Consider the following 24077-nt stretch of genomic DNA (forward strand, 5'->3'; position numbering starts at 1 on the left):
ACCATCTCTAGACTTAGTTCTGCATCTTTTTGGATTAAGATGTTTACTCACTAAGAAAACAATTACACCGTGCCACATAAACTGAGGCCACCATCCAAAGCTAAGCGGGGTTCCCTTCTTTGGGGGCTCCTATTCTAGCCAGGATGTGGGATTTGAATTTGCACACACCTATAATAGTATATCTCACAAAAGACACATTGACCCCTTCTGACACCGTTATGGTAACAGAGACCCCAAATCTACTCCCTACAAATGAGAAAGCCCAAATTATCTAGATTCAAGTCACACATGACCTCATTCTGCACAAATCTGCACGTGTTCATGCACACATTCACACACACACGTGCGTGAATCCACACTCTTTTCACCGGCCCTTTAGATCCTCTGACCTGTCTACTGCCCCATTCCTCCCTGACACCTTATAGACATTCAAGGACATTCAAATTCCATTAGAATTGACTCTGCAGCTCTTCTATGTGTATGTCTTTTATGTTTTTTAGATCGTGACTTCTAAAACCAGATTAATAACCCTCTTCAAAGAAATGGTATGTGACAGAAAGGATATGATACGGACAGAGGTATGAGAAAGGTCAAAATTCCTACAGCATCCAAAAGGATATACAACTTTTGACCTATGACCTATATACATTGCAAAAGCTGTCAGTGTAGTCAAGTTTTGAGAAATGCAAGGGCAATTTAATAGCAATCATTTCCCTTTGCCAAAGAACCCAGAGGCTACAAGGATGGAAATTAAAAGTAATTGTGAGATTACCATTTTTGGAGATAATGATATGTGCATAATAAATGAATAGGCTGCATTTCCATATATTAAGGCATTTGGACACATTAACTGATTCTGCTAATGACATATTTGGGACAGGCAAGTGAAAATATACCTACCGTTCTTCCAAAACTTGACAAATATATTTACCATTTTAAATGAAGACATGCAGTTAATATATCACTATCACACCCTCTCTGTTCTCTTCAAAACTCTCTGCCAGGAGTGTTTGCTAGTGCACTTTCCAGTTCAATGGACCTGAATCCATGTGCTGACAGAAGCCAGTGGTCACCTTTCAGCAACAGGGTACCTGTTTACAGGATTAACAATGTGTTTGCTTCCAATTTCAGGAAAAGGAAGGCTGGCAAGTAATTTGTTTGGCAGGTGGGATTAGTCTGGTTTTACAGTTGTGCCTTTCCTTAATCAAATGAGGAAGTCAAGGCTCCTGAGTCTCTCTGGCGGCTTCAGGCTGTTATCTGTGGGCACTCAAGGAGAGGGAGGTCTCCAGGCAGGACATGGCACCTGTGCAGGTGTTTCGATGTGTTATTGTTAGACATATGCACAGTTGGCATTTAAAGCAAACTAAAAAATTCTTAAAGTTTCTTCTGAGCAACACCATTTGTTGTGTTTTTAAAAAGAAAATAAGCCTTGTCCTCCTTCCTTATCAAGATATTTTAATGCAAGAGATAATCTCTCTGAGATGATTTCCTACTTTAAAAATATGTATCATATTTATTTGTAAAAATAATTTGAGTTTATTTAAGTATATTTGAATGTTCACACTGCAAGAAAATAACTGTTGCAGGATTGTAACATCTTCTCCCTCAGGCTCCCACATTTCGGGTCTGTATTCCCCTCAGTTAGAAAGAGCTGCCATCACTAAGTCAAGGCTTCATTTCATTTTTATATGCTCTTTAAGACTTAAGGCCAGGCACGGTGGCTCACGCCTGTAAACCCAGCACTTTGGGAGGCTGAGGCGGTGGATTACTTGAGGTCTGGAGTTCAAGACCAGCCTGGCCAACATGGCAAAACCCCATCTCTAATAAAATACAAGAAAATTTAGCCAGGCATGGTGGTGCACACCTGTAATCCCAGCTACTCAGGAGGCTGAGCTGGGAGAATCACTTGAACCCAGGAGGCAGAGGTTGCAATGAGCCGAGATCAGGCCACTGCACTCCAGCCTGAGCCACAGAACGAGACTCCATCTCAAAAAAAAAAAAAAAAAAAAAAAAAAAAAAAGATTTGACTAGATTATTTTTAGGTTGCTATTCTAAAATAACCAACTAATAACAATTCAGGGAGACAATGCACAAGGTTCCGTGGGAAGCATGCTGGCTTCTGTCAGACAGAACTGAGTCAGAATTCTTTCTTTTTCATTTAATGTTTAATCCAAGAATAAAGATGGTATACATACAGGCATACAATGTGATGATCTGATGTAGGTATATATAATGTATTGATTACCATAATCAATGACACATCCATCACCATCCATACTGGCTATTAGATCCCCAGACCTTGTTCATCATGTGACTGAACGTTTGTACCCTTTGATCAACATCTCTCCATTTCTACCACTACTCAGCCCCTGGAAACCATGATTGCATTCTTCACTTCTGTGTTTGATTATTTTTGATACCTCATGCAAGTATAATCATACATTATTTGTCCTTTTGTAACTGGCTTATGTTACTTTAGTATAAAGTCCTCAAGGTTTATCTAAGTTGTTGCAGATGGCAGGATTTCCTTCCTTTTATAAGGCTGCATAATATTCTATTGTATATGTATACCACAATTTCTTTATCCATTCATTCATTCATGAACATGTCAGTTGTTGCCATGTCTAGGTTATTTTGAATAACGCTGCAATAAACATGGAAGTACAGATATCTCTTCTAGCTACTGATTCTTGTGCTTCCTTTGGATATAGACCCAAAAGTGGGATTGATGGGTCATATGGAAATTTAATTTTTGTGGAGTCTTCATACTGTTTTAATTAGTATCTGTACCAATTTGCATTCCCATCAACAGAGTACAAGCAGTTCCTTTTCTCCATATCCTTGCCAATGCTTATTATCTTCTGTCTTTTCAATAATAGCATCTTAGGAGGTAGGAGATGGTATCTCGCTATGGTTTTGACATGCATTTGCCTGACGATTAGTGATGTTGATCACCTTTCCATGTATCTGTTGGCTACTTGTACATTTTCTTTGGAGAAATATCTATTCAGGTTTTTGACCACTTTTTCATTGGATTGTTTGGGCCTTTGCTATGGAGTTGTATGTGTTCCTTGTATATTTTGGATACTAACCCCATATCGGATCTATAGCTTGCAAATATTTTCTCCCATTCCATAGAGTTGTCTTTTAATTTTGTTGATTGTTTCATTTGTCATGCAGCAGTATTTAGTTTTATTTAGTCCCATTTGTTTATTGTTGCTTTTGTTGCTTGTGTTTTTGGTATCATTTCCAAAAAGTCATTGGCAAAACCAATGTCAAAGAGTCTTTTCCCAAAATGTTTTGTCTAAGAGTTTTATAATTTCAGGTAGTTTTGGCAACATATTTATTAAAGAGACTATCATTTCCTCATTGTGGATTCTTGGCGCCTTGTCAAAAATTATTGATCGTATGTGTGTGGGTTTATTTCTGGGCTCTCTATTCTGTTCTATTGGTGTGTCTGCCTGTTTTTTATGCCAGCCATACTGTTTTTATTAGTATGGCTTTGTAGTATACTTTAAAATCAGGCAGTGTGATGCCTCCATCTTTGCTCTTTCTCAAGGTTATTTTGGCCGTTCAGAATCTTTTGTGGTTTGATACAAATTTTGGATCTTTTTTTGTATTTCTATGAAGAATGAACTTGGAAATTTGATAGAGATGGCATTGAGTCTATAGAATAATTTGGATAGTGTGGGTGTTTTAACAATATTAATTAATTATTATTGTTAATGTTGACCTCTTAAAATGATTTTGAAAGTATTCCTTTCTCTTCAGTTTTTTAGAATTATAATGAATCATGAATGATCAATTGGTTTCTCAGTTGTCTCTACTGGGGTTCTTTCAAATGAGTCATATTTGTATAATAGCCATATACTATTTTACAGGTAAGAAGGGATCAAGTGTTTTTATTAACTTCACAGAAATACTCCTCATGTATCTGGCTCTCACATTTGTATTCATTTTCTATGCTACATAATGAATCGCCACAAAATGGTGGATTAAAACAGCACATTTATTATCTTACTTTTTCTGTGGGTTAAGAGTCTTGGCATAGCTTAGCTATTTCCTCTGCTTAGCATCTCACAAGGCAGCAATCAAGGTGCGGTCTGGGCTACACTTCCATCAGAGGTTGGATGGGGGAAGAACTGCTTCTAACTTCCCTCAGATTTCCCTCAGATTGTTGAAAGAATTCATCTCTTTGCATTTGCAGAACTGACATTCCCAATTTCTTGTTGGCTGTTGGCTAAGGCAGCTCTCAACTCTACAGGTGTCTTATGGTTCCTTGTTGCATTGCCCTCCCATAAACTCTCTTGCAATATGGCAGATTCCTTCCTCAAGCCTCCAAGGGAGAGAAGTCTTATGTGTGCTATAAAGATGGGGTGTGTGTGTGTATGTTTGTGTGTGTATTTGTGTGTTGTAATATCCCATCACTGTTACCATATAAAATAGCCTGATCACAGGAAAAGATTAAATGGCAAGACCATAGGGCCACCCTACTAAGATCTGTCTGCCACAACATTTAAACCATTTATCTGAAACTCTTTTGGTAAGAAGCATCAGAAAATATTTACACAAGATGTAAATTAGAAAAAATATCACTGTTGGAGTATTGTCATGCAGGCCCTCCTGTGCTTCTTTGGGGAAGATTTGGGCAATAGAAAACCAACAACTCCCCTAGCAAAGGGCTAGACTTTCTGATAGAGAAGTCTAAATACAGACAACAAGTATTTCTTCTTTCAGTCCCAAGTGTAATGGCCTTTTCCCCTACTGCCAATTCAATGAAACAGTGCTAAAATTAGCCATTTGTTTTTGTTATTGTTATTCTTGTTACACTCCTTTGGCACTTAATACAATGTGTCCAACATAAACTTTGTCGTGTGCTTATGTCTTGCCTCCAGAGAGGAAGTGCTCTTTCTCTCCTCTGATCCAGTTGTGCAAAATCGGTTCCTCTTTCAGAGCTGTTATCATTTCCTGCCTTTTTTAAAGCTCTTTGTACATCTGCCTTGTCATTCCTATTGGTCTGAGATTTATTGGAAGTGAATGAAGAATGTTTTATTCCTCTCTAGCATCCTATAACAGCTAGCACAGAGCCTGGCATGTAGTAGACTCTCAGTTAATGTCACTGATTGGATGAATAAATAAATGAATGATTAGATTTTACTAAGGAAATTAAAACCTCTCTTGAGGGTATGCCTGAATTTTTGTATCATTTTACATGTTCCACATGTTTAACATATTTAGATCAAAGAAACCAATAAGAATCAACATCAACTCAATGACTGAAAAAGATGTCACATATTCAATTAGTTATTCAGGTCCCTAAGCTAATGTATGTAAATACAAAGATTAACTCTAAATCCAAAGTAAGCAGTTAATAAACAGATATTGACACACAGTCTACAGGTACACAATGAATGAAATCCCTCTTCTTTTCAGAAACACTCTAGATTAAAAAAAAAAAAAACACTGATCCAGAAAGACAACACCTGTGTCAACATCAGGGACTCCTCCCACCCGTGCACATCCCTCAGTCAATTCAAAAGAAGCGGAGCGTCCAGAGGCTAGAACATGTGCCAAACACCTCTGAATGTGCTGGTGCAGCCATCACTATAGAAAGTGCAGAAGTCAAAGACACCTGTACAATGACTGAAATCTCATTTACTGACCTAGGTATTTTAAAAATTCTATTTACCTGACCCTTTAATAAAAACACCTTTTTATTGCTTAAACATAATACTAAAATATGAGTAAATAACCTTGGCCTTTAAGAGGTGGATAAAAAAAGAGTTGGGAGGGACATATGAAGTCTGCCTTTTTTTTTCCTTTTTTTTCTTCTTTCTCTTCCTCCTTGTCTTCCTCCTTCAATCCAGAACAAAGTAGGCAAGTGAACACCAAGAAATGTAAAGCATACAGGTCTACCCGAGGTACAGAGGTATGGTTCAATGGAAAAAGCTCTGGACTAAGAACTAGAAGCCCCCGGCCGTAATCCTGATTCAACTCTGGACCCTAAATCACTTCCAATTATCAGCCTTAGTTTTCTCATCCATAAAAAGAAGCTGTTGGAGTAGGTGATTTCGCAAGTTCTTAGAAAGGTGTGATGCATTTGGAAAGAATTCTAAAGAGTCCTTACAATCAAAGTAAAGATTTGGAGGGTTGAAATATGTAGTTTCAGAATCAATAATAATAAGTTGTTTTTTACTGTGGAAAACCTCACCACTCTTTTCCAGATGGCTTTTTCATTAAACACCCTCAATATTATTTTTCACTGTGTTCTTGAGACTGCTTTCTAGTTTCAGTTCACACATATTTATGCCCTCTAAAATGTTCTCTAAGTTGGGAGTTCATCTGGAAAAAGTCAAAATGAAAGTGAAGCACCCCACCAAGCCCCCCACCAAAATCAAACTCACTGAAACTTACCTTCCTTGCTAAAAACTTCAGGTTCCTTTCTCTCCTCATGCCAAATTGTTCACAAAATCTAAACCAAGGAAACAATGAGATTTTAAACTGCATTACATGTTTTGTGAAACTCTCTTCTCCTCCTTCCCCAAGCTATCCACTTCTTTGTCTCTAAGGTAGAATATACTGAAAATAAAATGCAAGGATGCACTTAAATTCATATAAATTTTAGCACTGGAAAAATCTTTGGTTTAATCCAACTCTGTTACTTTTTTATTTTATTATTTGTCCCAGATTACCAAGATATTTTATAATAGATGTGAATTACCTGAAAATTCTCTGACAAGCATGGATAATAAAAACAAAATGAAAGAAGGCGGAATGTTTATTCATACCCATACCTAATATGTTGCAATCATTTCTATGACATATATGCCCTCATTTCTTTCACATAGCTTATTTCATTTACCCTTTAGCACAGGTGTGCAAGGTGGCCACTATTACCTTCATTTTAAAGATGAAACAGAAGGTCAGGAGAGCTATGTGACTTTCCTGAGTTCAACAAATAAGCTAAATGAGGAACCATGTCAGTGCTGAGATTTGAATCCACATCTGATCCCAAAGTTTGTGGACTTGCTCTTTTACCAAAGAGATATTCAGTAAGTTTAAAACATTTAGTAACTACATTGTTAAATTCTAAAGGAAACTCATTTTTTTTTCTGTATATTCACTTCCCAGAGCTTTTTAGGATATTAACCAGTCTCTAACACACAGTAGGCTTTGGTCCAACTAGTGTAAAACATGGTGCATAAATTCACCAGAGATAAAGAAAATATTAATACACGAGTAGCTAACCATTGGTGGCAAGTGACAGGAGAGGGAAGGTTTACAGATTTAGGTAAAGTGTTTTATTTATCCGAAGTTTTCTCTTGGGTATTTTCAGACTACCATAACTCCTTCTGAACATGAGAGACTGGACACATCTCTCTGTTCTTTGTGGTTACTCCAACCACAGACACGTCCAGAGAAAAAGTCTGCACGCCTTGTGCAACTTGTCAGAAGATGTCACCAATACACAGTGGTATGCCGCTAATGTCTAACAACCAGGTCTTTGGAGAAAAACAGGTCCTGATTTGTGGTATTTGCCAATTTCCATGGTGTAAATACAACGACCATGACGGATTCAAAACCATAAATATGTCATCGCAGACTGCAAGTAGGGAAGAAATGAACAGTAGCCCATGCTGTATAGTATTTCCACCGTACAGAAATAACAGGAGTAACCGCTAGATTGTGGGATATGGAAACATGTGGTCAAATGATTAGCAAGTGATGAATTTTGAATATTATCTTTTTATATAACCTTTTCCTTGTTGGTTAATATTAACTTGTTAAATTTTACCAATGCCTGTGTATAACAACTGGGTCACAAAGTTTCTGAAAACTTAACAGTCCACTCTTGTGAGCTGGTGCAAGCCAGTCCCAGCCCTCGACTGTGACTATTTCATTCCTGCTCTAGGTTTGTACTTGGGTGGATGTTTAGGGATTTGCTAGCATGAGTTAGGTGTGATTAGGTATACACTCTGCTCCAGCAAGATTCCAAATACGACAGTTTAACCTTAGAAAATAAAGGGTAATGTTAGGCCCTCTGTCTGAAATACTTTCTATTAGGGAAACAGCAGGAGCAGAGATCCTGGGACCAGGCCTGCTGTGCTCCAGGAAGGATGACATCCTGCTCCTAGTCCCTTCTACAGCAGCCTAGGTGTGGGGACAAGCACCCACGTAGCTGAAGGCGGCATGCACACACTTATACTCACTTGTCTATAAGCTTTCATTTTTAAACTTTCCCAACTGTAGAGCTCTGGAAAGATGTTCAAAACTGTGCTTTTGCAAAGTAAATGCTATAATCTGTTGGCTTTCTTTTTATCATCAGTAGTGCTTTCTCATCGTTGTCCAAACTTCCATAGAAAAGGTGAAAACCTTCAGAATAATTGCCACCCTGCCACGTGCTGGGCCTGGCAGCGTCACTCTGCTGGTGATTTCATGCGTGCTGGGCTTCAGAAGGCTCCCTGGCTCCCACTGTTTCCCACTGGGCTCTCAGACCCCCAGCTCTTCCCTCTCTCACAGGCGATCCTTCCCAGGTCTCTTTCCTGGCCCCAGACAATTCTCCCTGGGGTAGATGGACTTTTATTTATACTACCTGAGTCCCTTTTTGCTTTCGTTTTTCATTTGGTCTTTATGTATTTATCAAATATGTACGTGACACCTTTCAAAAGAGCAGATCATTCCATAATGCTTATTATGGAATATAATCCCCGACTCTCTTCCACTGTTCAAAAGCACTTTTAGCCCTGTCAGCTGACTCTATTGGTACTTACAATCATTTCTCTCTGTAAGTCGCTTAGAGTGCAACTTTTGCTTTTCTGTTTTAGACTGTATCTATTAGTGTCCTACAGCAGGAGATGAAGATTTAAACTATCACTTCCTGTATCCCCATCTTCCCAATATAGTTACATCATAGTCAATGTTTACTTAATTATGACCATGTAAACTCTGTTCATAGCTGAGCCATATAATACACTATGATTACTTTTCCATTCTTGAACAATTTTTAAGCTCTAAAATTAAGAATTGTATTTTCTGTTTGCTATGTTTAAAAGCAATTCTCATTTATTCACTCCCAAATTGTCTCCCAATTGTTTAAATACCCTTTTCATACACTGATGCATACCAGGTATCTATTTCTGTCATTGTCTTAGAGGCCTCTCTTTCATAGCCTTCTAACAGGTCCCTTTGGCCTCGTGTTGTTATCCTGAGATCTCAATGCGGCGTCACACTGAGGATTCTCTCTATGATTGAATCCTCTGTTCCCTGGATTCCATGTTTCTCACTTATTTTGATAAAATAACTCTTTTGTAGCCTCCTGAAAAAGAGGTCATAGAAAAGAAGTTTTTCAGACCTTACATGCCTGAAACTGTCTTTTGTCTAGCTTCATATATAATTTATAAAATATGATATGACATTGTAGTTGGGTTGGATATAGAATTCTAAGTTGGACATAATTCTCCTGAGATATTTGAAGGAATTTCTTCTTGACTTTTATCTTACAGTGTGCTCTAGAGAAATCTGAAGCCATACTGCTTTTTATCTTTAGTTAATCACCATCTTTTTTATTTTTTAACCTCTGGAGACATTCAGGATTTTACATTTAACCCCAGAGTTCTGAAATTTCATGATGGTCCCATCAGGTACAGGATAATTTTTGTCTCCTACTCTTGAAAACACAAGATCCTCAATGAAACCTTTTCCTCCCACTAGTTTCTCACCTGGATGTCTCCAGGATGACCCTACTTCTACGGCTCTCAGTTTTCTTGTTTGCAAAATGTGGATAATATTCATGGAGTACTTGAGAAATTGAAACTTTAATATCAGTGACTGTAAGTGAAAACTGAAAAAGCACTCCATATTTTTAAGTTGTTATAATTACTACCATTATTTTATCCGAATGAATCTTTCCATATATTTGCTTTTGTTTTGCTGTTTTTTCTTTCAGAGACAGGGTCTCACTCTGTTTCCCAGGCTGCAGTGCAGTGGTGTGTTCACTTTGAATGAAGACCAGAGATCCTCAATCCTAGGACATTTTTGCATGTTATTTCTTTATTATTTCCTTTCTTCTATTTTCTTGTTTCACACAGAACTCGATTTCTCTTTGAATGCTAGACTTCCTAAACTGATTGTCTATAGTTATTATGTTCCCCTCTTAATTTTCAGTTCTTTATCTTTTTTGCCCCACTGTCTTAGAGATTCCTTCAACTTTATCTTTCAGTCCTGCTAATAGGCTACCCATTTCTCCTATCATATACTTAATTCCCCAAATTTCTCTCTTATTCTCCATTTATTTTCTCTTTCTAAAGAATTCTGTTCTTCCTACACAAAGAAAAAACGTTTGGTAAACTCTTTGATGATGTTAATAATGTATGTTTTCAATTACCATCTTCCTGCATAGACTCTGTGTCCTCTATCTTTTTTTTTTTCTTTTTGTTTTGTTTTGTCTCTTGTTCTTATGGCAGAGGCCTTCGTAAGTTAACTGGTGGACTTTTGTAGCTGTTCATATTTAATAGCGGGACACTAAAAGATTTTTGGAAGTTTTGCTGTGTATGGGAATTGTCAACTGTGGGTTTGCTGATAAAGTGAATGACTGGATCATTTTGGAGGAATTATCTTCATATCAGTGGCTTTTGGTGTTGTATTAGCCCATTTTCATGCTGCTGATAAAGACATACCCGAGACTGGGTAATTTATAAAAGAAAAGAAGTTTAATGAACTCACAGTTCCATGTAGCTGGGGAGGCCTCACGATCATGGCGGAAGGTGAAAGGCATGTCTTACATGGCGGCAGACAAGAGAGAATGAGAGATGAGCGGAAGGGGTTTCCCCTTATAAAATCATCAGATCTCATGAGACTTAGTCACTACCATGAGAACAGTATAGGGGAACTGCCCCCATGATTCAACTCTATCCCACTGGGTCCCTCCCACAACACTCAGGAATTATGGGAGCTACAATTCAAGATGAGATTTGTGGGTGGACACAGCCAAACCATATCAGGTGTCTTCTCTTGGGCTGATCAGATTTCCCAGAGCAGAATCCTTGAATCTGTACCTGAAAGCTACAGATCTGTCTACCTGTCCTCTGCAGGTGAAGAGGGCTGGGGCAGTCTCAATATGCAGCTCATAAAATTGCCTTTATTTCCTGTTTTCTGTGTGGCAGCCTTGTGATCTATTTTGACTCATGTCCTTCAATTCAGAAACTCTGTCTTTATCTCTTCAGAAAATAAAATTCCAGTCTCATCTTGAGGTTGACGAGGGGTTTCCCTGCCTTTCAGGGTAGTGGAAATGAGGGCTTTGATACCTCTCAGACAGCCTTTCGGAGACTCCTTCAGCTTCCAGCCCTCTCTATACTCCAACTTTTGGAGACACTGGATTAGCCAATTCCTGAGACTTTTGTAAAATTGTAAAATCTTTTTTTCACAGGTGATTTAGACATGACTTTTCTAACTGCTAAGTCAGCAACTAACTGTTTTTCTGCTTTCTAACTTCCAAAGTGCTTGCTGTGGAACTTAGAGAACTCCTATTATCTTTATTTTTATGGGTTAGTGTCTTAAAAGTTGTTGTTGCTGATGTGTTAATGGAATTCTTGGAGGAGTCTGAGGCAAATGCAGGTGTTCAATTTGCCTATAAACAGAAGGACCCAAATTAATCTTCCGTCTTCTGCCTTTATTTTGTAAATACTTCTATTTCCTCATGGATGCATTTCCCCTGATACCACCACAACATCCCCCTCAAAAAAATATAAATGAATAACAGCAAAGTTAGAAATGCAATCAATATTTTCATAACATCCTACCTTTGTCTTTGGTTAGGTACTTAACTCTAATAAGACCAGGCCAGTTTCTAGTGAGGTGAAGGTGTCTATAATCCTGCTTCTGTTAAACATTTGGGCTGGGTGCAGCAGTTCACACCTATCATCCCAGCAATTTGGGAGACGGAGGTGAAAGTATTGCTTAAGGCCAGGAGTTTGAGGCCAGCCTGGCCAATACAATGAGATCTCATCTCTACAAAAAAATAAAAAATAGGCAGGCAGGGTGGCACACACCTAAGCCCCAGGTACTAGGGAGGCTGGGGCAGGAGGATGGCTGGAGTCCAGGAGTTCAAGGCTGCAGTGAACTATGGTCATACCATGGCACTCCAGCCTGGGCAACAGAGTGAGACCCTGTCTCTAAAAGAAAAAACAACAAAACAAAAACAAATATATGGAAGGTTTCATTCAGATAAAATAATGTAATAATTGTAACAACTTAAAAATGTGGGTTGGGCGCAGTGGCTCACGCCTGTAATCCCAGCACTTTGGGAGGCCAAGGCGGGCAGATCACAAAGTCAAGAGATCCAGACCATCCTGGCCAAGATGGTGAAATCCCATCTCTACTAAAAATATAAAAAAAAAATTAGCTGGGTGTGGTGGTGCACACCTGTAGTCCCAGCTACTGGGGAGACTGAGGCAGGAGAATTGCTTGAACCCAGGAGGCAGAGGTTACAGTGAGCTGAGATTGCGCCATTGCACTCCAGCCTGGATGACAGAGTGAAACTCCATCTCAAAAAAATAAAAAATAATGTGTAGTGCTTTTTTAGTTTTCACTTACAGTAACTGATATTAATCTCTTTTAATTTCTCAAGTACTCCATGAATACTATCCACATTTTGCAAAACAAAAACAAAAACAAAAACACCTGAGAGTCATAGAAGTGGGACGGGCCTGGAGACATCTCAGTGGGAACCAGTGCAAGCCCAATGCCAAGCCACGACTCTCACTGCAGACCCTGCACTCTATCTACCATGCCACATTGGATCTGGTGCTTTTCTCACAGCTAAACTGATAAGGCCACATTCTGCCCATAAATAAAAATCAGAGTGAATTGCATTCAACTCTCTTCTTTGCAAATGAGGAGAGTATGTAAGGCAACTCCAGAATGAGGGCTCAACTGGAACCTGTTACTTGAAAACAAGAGAGTTGTAGTAACTAATACAAACTCAAGTCAAAAAGTCATATAGAATGAGAGTAGAAAAAAGCCACCCAAATGAAGACTTAAAAATCAAGAGTAGCAAGCTTATAAAAATTAAATTGAATTTCCATCAACGACAGCAAACTGGTAGGGCACTGTTGTGCTGAGCTGTCAGAACCTGCCCCACCCCCGCAAAAATTCCTGTGTTGAAGACCTAACTACCCTTACCTTAGAACCTGATCATATGAAGAGACAGGGTCCTTATAGAGGTAATTAAGGTAAAATGAGGCCATTATGATGGGCCCTAATCCAATACAACTGGTGTCACTATAAGGAGAAGAAATGGCTGAGTGCAGTGGCTCATGCCTGTATTCCCGGCACTTTGGGAGCCCGAGGTGGGCGGATCATGAGGTCAGGAGGTCTTGAACTGGCCAATATGGTGAAACCCCATCTCTACTAAAAATATAAAAATTAGTTGGGCATGGTGGCACATTCCTGTAATCCCAGCTAGTTGGGAGGCTGAGGCAGGAGAATTGCTTGAACCGGGACCCGAGAGGAAGAGGTTGCAGTGAGCCAAGATCGCCTCACTGCACTCTAGACTGGGCTACAGAGCAAGACTCCCTCAAAAAAAAAGAAGGAAAAAAAGGAGGAGGGAGAAGCAGGAGGAGGAGGAGGAGGAATGTGGATCTGCAGAGAGAAAACACCATGAAGACCCTGGGAGAAGACAAGCCACAGAGAGAGGTCTGGAGCAGACCCTCAGCTGCCACCTGCCCCACCCTGCCCACACCTTGATCTCGAACTCCCGGCCTCTGAAACTGGGCCAATACATTTCCGTTGTTTCAGTCACCCCATCTGGGTACTTTGCAGCCCTAGCAAATGAACCAGGAACCCAAAATACATTGAACCTGAAGGAGCCCTATCTATCAACCCGTTACCTACTCAACACTGTTCCCAGGCACTTATAGAGGTTCGAAGACTCAGTGTTATTCGTCAAGAAAGCTTATGATCAATCTGGGCGGGGAGAGTCCAAATATTAAAAAAATGAGAGGCTGGCACACAGCACCAACCTGTCCTGGTTGCTGGCCGCCTGTGCTCCCCTCTGCAGGAGCACGTGCTCCCCTCTGCAGGAGCACGTGCTCCCCTCTGCAGGAGCACGTGCTCCCCTCTGCAGGAGCACGTGCTCCCCTCTGCAGGAGCACGTGCTCCCCTCTGCAGGAGCACGTGCTCCTGGCCCTGTCTGCTCCCTAGAGGCTGAGTCTGGTTTCTCTGCCTGCCCCTCCCTCCTCTCCCACTCCCTGCCTGCACTCTAGCTTCGAGCCAAAATGAACATCTGAGACCTCACAATGTTTCATTCCCTTAACGTTCCTGACTTTGTGTGTCCCAGCACTCCTGATGGTTCTCGCAACTCTGCAAACAGACCTATAAGTTTCCTACAAAATGCTCACGGCATCTCCAGAACTCGGTTGAAGTGTGGCTGCCTTCAGAAGACTTTTCCCTGAGCACTTTCTGAGACCAGCTCAGGGGTTCCTTTTCTCTGCTCCCATCCTTTCCTGGGCTCCCTTCTGCAGTGACACCTGAGTGGCTCTCCTGGCACCCGATTAGGCTTAAGCTCCGCCAGGCTGAGTTTCCTCCAGGCCAGGGTTGTGTGGGGCCTGCTGCGGGTGAGAGGGCAGTGCCCGCATCCCCAGCGCCCTTCTCCCTCTCCCAGCACACACCAAACCTCTCTTTGTGTTGCTTGACAAACACAAGAGCTTTTATTTTAAAACTGGGAGAAAATAAATTAGAGAAAGAAATGAAAAAGCACCTCCCCACCCCTCATCCCTTGGACTGATTTTAAATACCCAGACAGAGAGAAACCAGAGGCAAAAGTGGCCAGGCTTCTCCAAGGCAGTAGCTATCAAAGGCACGTCTGAGGCCTTGGGACCCCAGAGACCTTTGCAAGGGATCTGAGGATTGAAAGCTTTTTTCATAGTGACACTAAGACACGCTTTCCCTGTTTCCATTCTCATTCTCTCAATGGAGTTTCCCGGAGCCTACAGGAACCTGATGGCACCACTGTTCTGACAGTATGTAAAAGGGGTGCATTTTTCAGCTCTAAAAATGTCTCTTTAAAAAAAAAAAAGAAAGGCCAGGCGCAGTGGCTCACACCTGTAATCCCAGCATTTAGGCGGGAGGATCACGATGTCAGGAGATCGAGACCATCCTGGCTAAAACGGTGAAACCACGTCTCTACTAAAAATACAAAAAATTAGCCGGGTGTGGGGGCGGGCTCCTGTAGTCCCAGCTACTTGGAAGGCTGAGGCGGGAGAATGGCGTGAACCTGGGAGGTGGAGCTCGCAGTGAGCCGAGATTGCGCCACCGCACTCCAGCCTGGGAGAAGGAGCGAGACTCTCTCTCAAAAAAAAAAAAGAAAGAAAGAAAAAGAAAAAAAAATGGAATGCTTTGCACAAGGACGAATTTGCATGTCATCCTTGTGCAAAATATTTCTCTTTCAATTTCTAACATAATCAGTATCAGTGTATGCAACCCAAATAAAAAAAAGTCCTGTGGGGACCACAATAATCTTCAAGACTGTGAGAAGTTCCTGCTTCCAGAGAGTTGGAGAATCTCTCCGCCCTAGGGAGATTTGGGAGGATCCGTGTAAAGCAGAGCTGTCTGGACCCCAAGTGACAAATGGAGTGTTCAGAGGTGGGAGGGGACCCTTGTCTCTGCCTCTAGACAGAACCCACTCAAACTTCACAATCCCAAAGAGTGAAGGTTTAGAGAACATCAGAACAGCCACATTGGTGATGACCTAACACCCTGACAGGCTACAGCAAAACCAATTATTAGGAAGAAGGAAGCAGAGACGCATAGGAAGAAGGCAGGAGACCATGCATTCTTATTTAAGACTCAGACGCCCAACTACCTCCACCACCTCCAATAGTCCTGAACTAGGAAGCATTTTTTTTTAAGCCTCTAAGCATGGTGAAACGGCTTTTAGAAAATCCATGCCCCGAGCCGAAGGGGAGAGTGGATGGGTGGTGAAGTCACCCTTTTTCTTCTGAGACACAGCCATTTGTCATTAATGAACACAAAATATATTCAATTTCCCGAAGCTGCTGCCAGCTCTCTTACAAATTAGTTCACTTCAGCAAGATTTCACTGAAAATGTCAGTAAAATTATTTTTCTAATTAATTATTAACTAAATTCTAATCAAAATTCCAACTGACAATTTTTGTATCTTTACAACCAATTCTAAATTCATAATGAGGAATATATATTGAAAAAAGCTTTTAAATATTCTTGTTGTTTAGCAACAGGGTCTCACTCTGTTGCCCAGGCTGGAGCTCAGTGGCACAATCATAGCTTACTGCAGCCTTGAACTCCCAGGCTCAAGAGATCTTCCTGCCTCAGCCTCCCGAGTAGCAAGGACTACAGGCGCATACAACCCCGCCTGGCTAATTTCTTTTATTTTTATTTTCCAAGAGATTGGGTCTTGCTCTGTTGCTCAAGGTGGTCTTAAATGCATTGCCTCAAGTGACTCTCCTCCCTCGGCCTCCCAAAACACTGGCATTATGGGTGTAAGCCACTGTGCCTGGACCTAACCTTAAATCTTCTTAAGAGAATAATGCCGGGAAGGTTACCTAAGTAATAAAACTTGTTTTAAAACAAAATTAAGGAAAAAGACATTGTGGTATTTGTGTAAGAAGAAGGAACAGATAAGTAAATAGAAGAGAAAAGATAGTTATAGAAGATAAGAGTTATGGAAGACACATACCCCTCCACACCACTCATGGAAATGTGTGTGATATTTTCAATACAGAATACATCACAAACCAAAAGGTAAAGATGATTCAGTGTAACTAGTGCTTAAAAACATTTTAATGTTAACTAAAGGTAGAACTTTGCCTTACACTTCACCAAAGATAAGTTCTATATGTATCAGAGAGTTAAATATTTTAAAAATAAAACACAAAAAGGAAAATATGTGTGAATCTCAACTCAATCCTTATAGAGAAGGACTTCCTAAACAATTAAACAATAAAAAATAAAAGAAAAAATATCTGTAAGTTTGAATGATGAAACATAATATAATAGCCACATTATATAGCAAAAAATAAGGCAAAAAAAAAAACTGGAAACATTCATAGTAAGCATGATATAAGGTCGAGGTTCTTAATATATAAAGACCACCTGTTCACCAAAAATGAAACTCAAAAACACTCAAAATCCTCCTAAAATATGAAAATGACTAAAACATAAAATTCACAGAACTAACACAAGTGGTTAACACATTTGAAATGGGGTTCAACCTCACTGATTGGTAAAATGAGATAGCATATTTTGCCTATCCATGCACTAAGGATTTGTGGATGGCAGCTTTCAATGCTAGCAAGAATACTCTGAAAAAAGCACACATATATTTTCCTTCAGGAGGCAAATCTGGAAGTATATATCAAGAATCTTTAAGAAGACTTAGAATTAAAAGGAACACTGTTAATCAGATAGAGAAGCTAAGTTTAATATGTACAGGAATGCGCCCACAGCATTATTTATCATTGCAAACCTAGACAATGCTTAGTATCTCTTAGTCTCAATTCCTCAACTGAACACCAGGAATAGTAACCTACTTTGTGTATATGTTATATATGTAAAGCATTTGAAATAGAGCTTGGCATATAGCGGACACTTAATACATAATTATTTTTTGGATTTTGTGTGTGTGTGTGTGTGTGTGTGTGTGTGTGTGTGTGAGAGAGAGAGAGAGAGAGAGAGAGAGAGTATTACTGTGACGCCCAGGCCAGAGTGCAGTAGCGCGGTCTCAGCTCACTGCAACCTCCGCCTCCCAGGTTCAAGCAATTCTCCTGCCTCAGCCTCCCGAGTAGCTGGGATTACAGGCATACACCACCAAGCCCGGCGAATTTTTGTATTTTTAGTAGAGACAGGGTTCGTTTCACCACGTTGACCAGGCCGGTTTCAAACTCCTGACTTCAGGTGATCCGCCAGCCTCGGCCTTTCAAAGTGCTGGAATTATAGGCATGAGCCACTGCATCCGACCCAATGCATAATTGTTTTTGCCATCTTTTGCTGTACTAGGAAAATTCTGACAGCAATTTCTGGCTGCTGTTTCACCTTGAGCTTCCTGCCAAGTGGCACCTGAGAGATGTAGGGTACTTGCAGCTCCCAGCAGGCCACAGTGGAACGGTTTCCACTCAAACATTGACAATTTGGAAAGCAGAGGCATTTGAAGGAATATATACATAACAAATTCACTTACTGAGACTATTCCCTTAAGATGGTAGATAATTCAGGAATACTATTTTTACAATAGATATTTACATTCATAATTACTGATTTCCGATTGCCAGTACATGTGGCAAAATAATTTTGGGGGATGATGTGTGCTCGAGTGTGAGAAACATAAAGATACAAGATCAGTATAATATATATACACATACAAACACATACAATGAGAATAGTTGTATATGAGATATATAAATACATAGGTTTATACAGATGTAATATCTATTATGTCTACTTAATTGCATATAAAGAGGTAGATAGAAATGAAGAAATAAAATAAATTAGTCATTTTATGAAAGAATTCATGATCCTCCATAAGACTCCAAATCTTATCTAATAGTTAAAATGTAATTAACTGGATTTTTAAAGGTACAATTCATATTCAGTATCGCAGGGACACATATATTTCAATACACGAGGTAGACATGGAAAATAATTCACATTTATTTACACTTGAAAGCCATAGTTATTAATGCCTGCTAATCTCCCTACACAAATTCTGAAATACCAACACCTAGCCGTAAATAGCTTGAAAGTGTGACCATAAAGAATGTGCCCATAGGTGGATTATCTTAGGGAGATTAACCTGCTTTTTAATTCATTCAATTATTAGAATATTAAAAATTAAGCACTAACACTTTCAAAGTGCCAAAAAGACCCAAACACAATAATAACTCAGAAAGCTCGGACAAATAAATATAGGGACTTTAAAACCATAGCCACTTACAAAGGAATTCAGGAAAAATTTAATTTGATTCAAAGAGGTTTAAATCAAACAAATGATTATCAGAATGAAAATAATGCTTTGATCAAATGGTTTTTTTTAATTTTAAAATCTCATACGAACTACAGTGTTATCCTATGTTTACCAGAGTCATTTATCAGTATATCTATCCACTTTCCAGAATGGGGAAAAAAAAATAAAAGCTGTTACATCAGCATTTTTTTAGCCTTCTCCTTTCTACACATTAGGCCTTTCTTGTGTGTGTCTTCTAGAAAATTTGCATTTAGAGAAAGGAAATTTTAATCACTTGAAGAAACATCCTCTTGATCACACCAAAATCTTTCACTCCAAATTCCAAGCCATTAAAACTTGACCCACATTACAGAAATGATGGCACCATGGCCAAAAACTCTGCTTCCTCCCCCTAAACTCAACTTAGTGATTATATTTTCTTTTTCTTTTTTTTTTTTTTTTTTTGGCCTTGTCTCAGTCTCTTATGTAGATCAGTTTCCCCCACAGCTCAGTAATGAGATGAGGTAAGCCACGCCTATTCCAAATTACAGAGACCTAGGAAGGCAAAGGTGGAGAGGAAATAAGAGGACTCTAAAATAAGTATGGAAGTAAACACTCCTTGCTCCCAGCTTTGGCCCACCAGTAAACACAGGCTCACAACGTTTCTCCTTTGTAGATTCTGAACAAGTTTCATGAGCCAGTATCTCACAAACATCTGCCTTCATTATAATTATATTTCTATTTCAGCTGCACCAAGCTATTTACAGATGAGCCTGTTCATAAAGAGCTTTATAATTAAGCAAACAGAAATATCTTTTTATAGGATGCAGATCTAGGGGTGATAATCACACACAAAATACACAGCAACAGTTGCAAATAGAGTGTTTAACGCTAGTTATATAGTTAGTGATGTGCTCAATAAAGCCTGACATGTCTTTGTTCCTAAATACGAGAAAATATGGTCTTTGCTACACAGCAGTGTAAACTGTCTTCTTTTCCTATTTTTTTAAGCAAAGGCCATATTTTTCAGGGTGGGTTCTTAAAATATATGTGTGTATGTGTTTTATATAACAACGGGGTCATAACACACATTCTCTGGCTTAGTAGGGCTTGAAATATGCCTGGGATTTGGAGACAGCTGATTCTAAATATAAGCAGCAACGTATGGTGGCACAGAGTATGACAGATTAAATTAGTAGATAGTAGAGAGTATCTGATGGTACTATGGAAGTTGCTGCCAGACAAAAAGAAACGTACGATACTTATCACGGCAGAAAAAGGAATTGCTCCTGTTCCAATTAAAATCTGCCTAAAGCCTTGGACATTTCCCAAGAAGGCCAGTCTTTGCTCCTGTACGTTCCCGTAACTCTTACCTGAAACCTCCCCCTGTCTCAATGCTTCAAAGCTGTCACTTGCAGAAAATATTTGCAAATCTTCTTGACCATCCAGAAGTCATGAAATCCCAAAGACTGGGCAGGAAAAATAGCCATTGTTTGCTAAGATTCAGCCTTGGCACAGAAAGGTTCACATACATCAAACAACACTTTGTTTTAGAAGATATGTGTGCAGCTCATATACTGCTCCTGAGAGTATATAGTGGTGCAATGCTTTAGAAAATGAATTTAATTAGACACACACACACACACACAGAATAAGTCTAAAAATAGTAATGTCCTTTGACCTGGTAATTACAATTGTACCAATAATTATGAAGAAAAGAAAACCCGAAAAGCATCAATAAAATAACTTTTATGCAGCAAGATATTTGTCATTGTCATAATGTTTACTATTATCATAAAATAAAAATGGAATGTCCTCAGATGTCCAACTATAGGGAAATGGTGAAATAATTTATGGCAGATACATTCAGTGGAATAGCCTATAGCCATAATATATTTGTTGTCTAAAAGTTTATAACGATTTGGAGGAATATTTATAATATTAATGAGTAAAATTGGGTGAATGACACAATATAATCTCAACTGTGTACATATGAAAGTACAATAGATGGAAGGAAATACATCAAAATATTTAAAGTGATTAAAAGGGAAATGGGTATAGACAGATTTCATTTTATTCTTATTAGTTAAATGTATTTTCCAAATTTTCTATAATAAACATTTACAAATTTCAGGTTCAATAAAGGGTATTTTTAAAACTATAACCAACCTCAATGTCCATCATAATGATAAAATTGGAGTTGCTTAGTTCTATTGTGGAAGGCTGGCATCATGTTTTCCGACAGACTCAAGTAACCAAACATTTTCTATGATCGAAGTGTAGCTGTGTCTCTGGTCCACTTTCTACCAGTCTGCTAGAATATGCATGGGAGGATTCCAAGGGTTTAAAGCATGTGTTACAAGCATAACTGTATTTGTTCTTTAAGAAAAGGAAGATGAGGCCGGGCGAGGTGGCTCACGCCTGTAATCCCAGCACTTTGGGAGGCTGAGGTGGGTGGATCACCCGAGGTCAGGAGTTTGAGACCCCAGCCTGGCCAACATGGAAAAACCCCATCTCTACTAAAAATACAAAAATTAGCCAGCGTGGTGGGGCATGCCTCTAATCCCAGCTACTCAGGAAGCTGAGTCAGGAGAATCACTTGAACCCAGGAGGCAGAGGTTGCAGTGAGCCAAGATCATGGCCACTGCACTCCAGCCTAGGTGACAGAGTGAGACTTCATTTCAGAAAAAAAAAAAATGGGAAAAGGAAGAAGAGAGCACTGGCAGAGAAGCCCCTGGCTCCGGTGTGGAATGTGTCATTTCAACATAGTTTGTCTGTCTTTTGCTTGAGTCTCTCTCCTGGTCTGTGTGCGTGTTTATGTTTCTTATTTTCCTCCAAGCCTCCACATCTGCTTCTTAGGCCTTTCTCTCTCCATAACGTGTAATGAAAAAGGGAGAAGAAACTCTATTGAGTTCCTTCAGTGTGCCTAGTGACATTCAGTTTTGTGGAATCTTTCCATCTTCACTCCTTTCATGAGGAATTGTTGTCATAACCCCATTTTAAAGGTGAGCCGAAGTCCCAGCGTGGTGGCTCACACCTGTAATCCCAGTACTTTGGGAGGTTGAGGCACAAGGACCTCTTGAGCCCAGCGTTGGATGCCAGCCTGGGTAACATGGTGAGACCCCATCACTACAAAAAATATAAAAAATTAGCTGAGTGTTGTGGCACATGCCTGTAGTCCCAGCTACTCAGGAGGCTGAGGCAAGAGAAATGCTTGAGCCCAGGGGGCTGAGGCAGCAATGAGCCGTGCTGGTGCAACTGCACTCCAGCCTGGGAAACACAGTGAGATCCTGCCTCAGAAAAAAAGAAAAGGGTGAGCAGATCAAGGCAAAAGGAGTTTGTTCCAAGCTATCCTGCTATTAGGGGCAAAGTAGAAATTCAGATTTTGGGTGTGTCTGTCTAAATCCCAGCTGATGAATGAATCAATTCTTCTCCCATGTTTTCCATGTCGTCTCTCTGATATTGGACTCAGAAGACCCCCTGTAGGGGGACTTGAGTGTGAACTTCAGCAAATAGATCATGCTTCCCAAGTTCACATACAACCCAATGCATATCAGTCACCCATCAATTTATCTAATACACTTGACCTACTTCCACAATCAGCTTTCATAACCTAAACAGTTAAATGTAGTATGAATTAGAAAAAAATAAAGTAAAACCAAGGCAGTTTAAAAGAGTGGAGTAATTGTTACTTAACGTCTGATTGCCCCAGCCAGTGGCTGATTTCTAACCACTGTGTGAAGGGCTCCTTCCTTTCGGTTTCATTAAACCTGCTTCCTTTTTGTTTAAAGGTATGTTTTCTGATTGTTGGTGTCCAGGATTTGGTAAACTTGAACACAGACATTCAGGTTTACTGTCTTTCACAATGGTGTGGGCCTGGAGCACGTTCCCTGGGCTTCCCAGATCAAAGTATGTCTACACCTCTTGCCCTGTCTGGAGACATCAGGTAGCTTTCCTGAAATGAAACTACCTAGGTTTAACATGCTAGTTCTGGATTTGAATGGACTATGGCCCTGTATTAGTTCATTTTCATGCTGCTGATAAAGACATATCTGAGACTGGGTAATTTATAAGGAAAAAGAGGTTTAATTGACTCAAAGTTCCACGTGGCTGAGGAGACCTCACGATCATGGCGGAAGGTAAAAGGCATGTCACACATGGTGGCAGACAAGAGAAGAGAACTTGTGCAGGGAAACTCCCCTTTTTAAAACCATCCAAACTCATGAGACTTATTCACTATCACAAGAACAGCATGGGAAAGACCCATCCCCATGATTCAGTTACCTCCCACCAGGTCCCTCCCACAACAAGTGGAAATTGTGGGAACTATAAATCAAGATGAGATTTGAATGGGGACACAGCCAAACCATATCAGGCTCTTTCTCCAGCATTTTCAATCTTTGTATCTTGCCTAACTTCTTTTCTGAAAACAAACAAACAACCACAACGACAAAACCATTCTCCAAAAGCCCCATCTAAAAAAAGAAAGTTTTTTTTTTTTTTTTTTTTTTTTTTTTGAGATGGAATCTCGCTCTGTCACCCAGGCTGGAGTGCAGTGGCGCGATCTCGGCTCACTGCAAGCTCTGCCTCCTGACTCACGCCATTCTCCTGCCTCAGCCTCCCGAGTATCTGAGACTACAGGCACCCGCCACCACACCCGGCTAATTTTTTTTTTTTTTTTGTATTTTTAGTAGAGATGGGGTTTCACCGTGTTAGCCAGGATGGTCTCGATCTCCTGACCTCGTGATCCGCCCGCCTTGGCCTCCCAAAGTGCTGGGATTACAGGCGTGAGCCACCGCACCCAGCCAAGAAAGAATTTTTACTTGCTCAGATGCTCCTCTATCTGCCATCCTGATTCTCTCCTTTCACAGCCCAAGTATTAATATCCTTTCTCAGAACCCTGGAATTTAGCATCATCCTGGCTGGCTGTCATCTGTGTGGGGCCAGCTTTGTAGCCATAGGAGCTGTACAGTCACACAAGGCTCTGCACCGAGGAGAGTCCTGTGCTTAGTTTAATACTCACTCGGTTGTCACCATCGAAAAAGTCTTATGAATGTTAGAACAAGGGGCCCGTGTTTTTGTTTTGCACTGGACTTGAACTTG

The 24077-nt window shown here is 40.0% G+C and overlaps 1 long non-coding RNA gene across 1 annotated transcript in view; it reads right to left on the reverse strand.

Moving 5' to 3' along the window:
• LINC00299 (long intergenic non-protein coding RNA 299) overlaps positions 1-24077 on the reverse strand; it is a 320649-nt gene that overhangs the window by 46163 nt on the left and 250409 nt on the right. The window contains exon 8 of the long non-coding RNA NR_034135.1: positions 6415-6472. This is a non-coding gene — a long non-coding RNA (long intergenic non-protein coding RNA 299). The remainder of the gene's footprint in view (positions 1-6414; positions 6473-24077) is intronic.

The sequence above is a fragment of the Homo sapiens genome, chromosome 2, assembly GCF_000001405.40.
Source record: "Homo sapiens chromosome 2, GRCh38.p14 Primary Assembly".
Lineage (NCBI taxonomy): Eukaryota > Metazoa > Chordata > Mammalia > Primates > Hominidae > Homo > Homo sapiens.